This window comes from Homo sapiens, chromosome X, assembly GCF_000001405.40.
Source record: "Homo sapiens chromosome X, GRCh38.p14 Primary Assembly".
Lineage (NCBI taxonomy): Eukaryota > Metazoa > Chordata > Mammalia > Primates > Hominidae > Homo > Homo sapiens.
In genome coordinates, this window is record NC_000023.11 from 64,426,957 (window position 1) to 64,428,646 (window position 1,690).

The following is a 1,690-nucleotide window of genomic DNA, read 5'->3' on the forward strand; positions in this document are numbered from 1 at the left end:
AATTGGGGTTTGTCTTGGCTAAAGTTAAGATTAACAACCAGTTGATATTAATTTCTCTTTACCATTAGAGCACTCCTCAATGATCATATTGCTGGGCTTTGTTGTTGTTTGTTCCAGTGTTTCTCCCAACAGATTTGACCTACTCTGCCTGACTTGGTCAAATCCGAGTGAGAATTCCAAATTGTGTGTAACAAGTCCTCTCTAGTTTGGCTAAAATTCCTCACAGGTGCAAAAGGAAAAAAAAAAAAAAAAGGAGAAAATGGAAACCATGTGTTTGGTTTCTGTGTTTGCTTCTTGTCTTTAAAAAATTCCATAATTGTTATTTTCATTTACTTTTCTTTCACCCTATACCTCCTTCCCCATTTGCCATCTGCAGTACCAAAAAATCTAGAAAGGGCTTCTAATGACTTGAACTCCTTTAAAGAATTCAGATTATTTTTAGGCCTAAACCTCTGTTTTCCTGTATTGCATGACCTGACCTTTTTGGCTTTTGCATTGTGAGAGGATTTGACCTTGGTATGTATGGTGGCACACAAGAGCTACAAAGTTATGGGTGACTGAGCACAGTTTACAGGAAGTTGTCTTGGCTGGTTTTTTTTTTTTTTTTTCTTTTTTCTTTCTTTTCTTTCCTAGGAAGTTGTTGTTTAAGGATCCTAATTCTTGTTCAGAGATGCATTCTAAAGGGTCTTCTCTATTGATTTTTCTCCCAGAATTAATCTTAATTCAATTTGTCTGTGCACATTTGCATGAGGAACTGAACTGTTGTTTTCATATGTTAATGACAGGCTGAGATTTCCTCAGCTCCAAAGAGAAAGGGCATTTGCTCCTCCAAGCTGAAAGGCACCCCTGGGTGATCAGGAGCCTTGTAGGAGTTTCTAGGGGGTTGACCTGCATGACATGCAGTGACCCTGTAGAGAAATCCCCAAGAAAAATAATTTTAAAAATGTCTCATCCAGGAAACACATATAAGGGCTGATCATCTGGCATTTTGAGCCCTCTCAGAGGTTATAGACCTCTGGAGTGAAACTGAGACACGTAAGAGGGTGGAATTGACTCAGTTGTGACCAACTGTGGAGTCCTGCCCACAAGCAGCACATATTGATCCACAACACAAAACCCCTAGGCCACAGCTCAGTTTCTCCTTTTAAGAAAAAAAAAAAAAGTAGGAAATGAATAATCTAAGAATGAAGAGAAAATAAGGAGAATGACCCCGTTTTGAGCACTCTGTAAGTTTTATGGAACCTCTACTTACCAGAGTAAAATGGAAGTAATATGGTTTTTGTGCATATTTACATTAAAGTAAAAGAGTCCCAAGGTTGACCTGCAGACTATAGAGTTTGTAGGTCCCAATTTTCTATATTTTTCTTTTCTGCCTGCTTTAAATCTGCCGTTATTTTCCACTGAAATAAAAACCACTGTTTGGATCTAACTTTTTTTTTTTTTTTTACAAGCTGGTGAATTTGTATTTATCTCATGGCTGAAGTAAAAGCTATAGAATCTTTGTGTGTGTAGTATGTGTGTATGTATATGTTTGTGTATATATTTGAAGGCCTTTATAATAGACTACTATAATTTTATGTTCAATTGGCAATTAAATCCCTTTCAATTTCCCTCTAGCTCACCAGACAGTCTCTTTGTACCTTATAATGTAAATTTTGCTATCTGATTTTCACCAGAATTGTTTCCTTTA

At 36.7% G+C, this 1,690-nt stretch overlaps 1 annotated feature.

Annotated features, from left to right (window-relative positions):
* Positions 914–963: an enhancer, noted in NCBI's record as "active region_29711". NCBI's record gives its function as "activates an Ori minimal core promoter by ATAC-STARR-seq in GM12878 lymphoblastoid cells {active_cell/tissue: GM12878}" and the evidence as "EXISTENCE:reporter gene assay evidence [ECO:0000049][PMID:35858748]".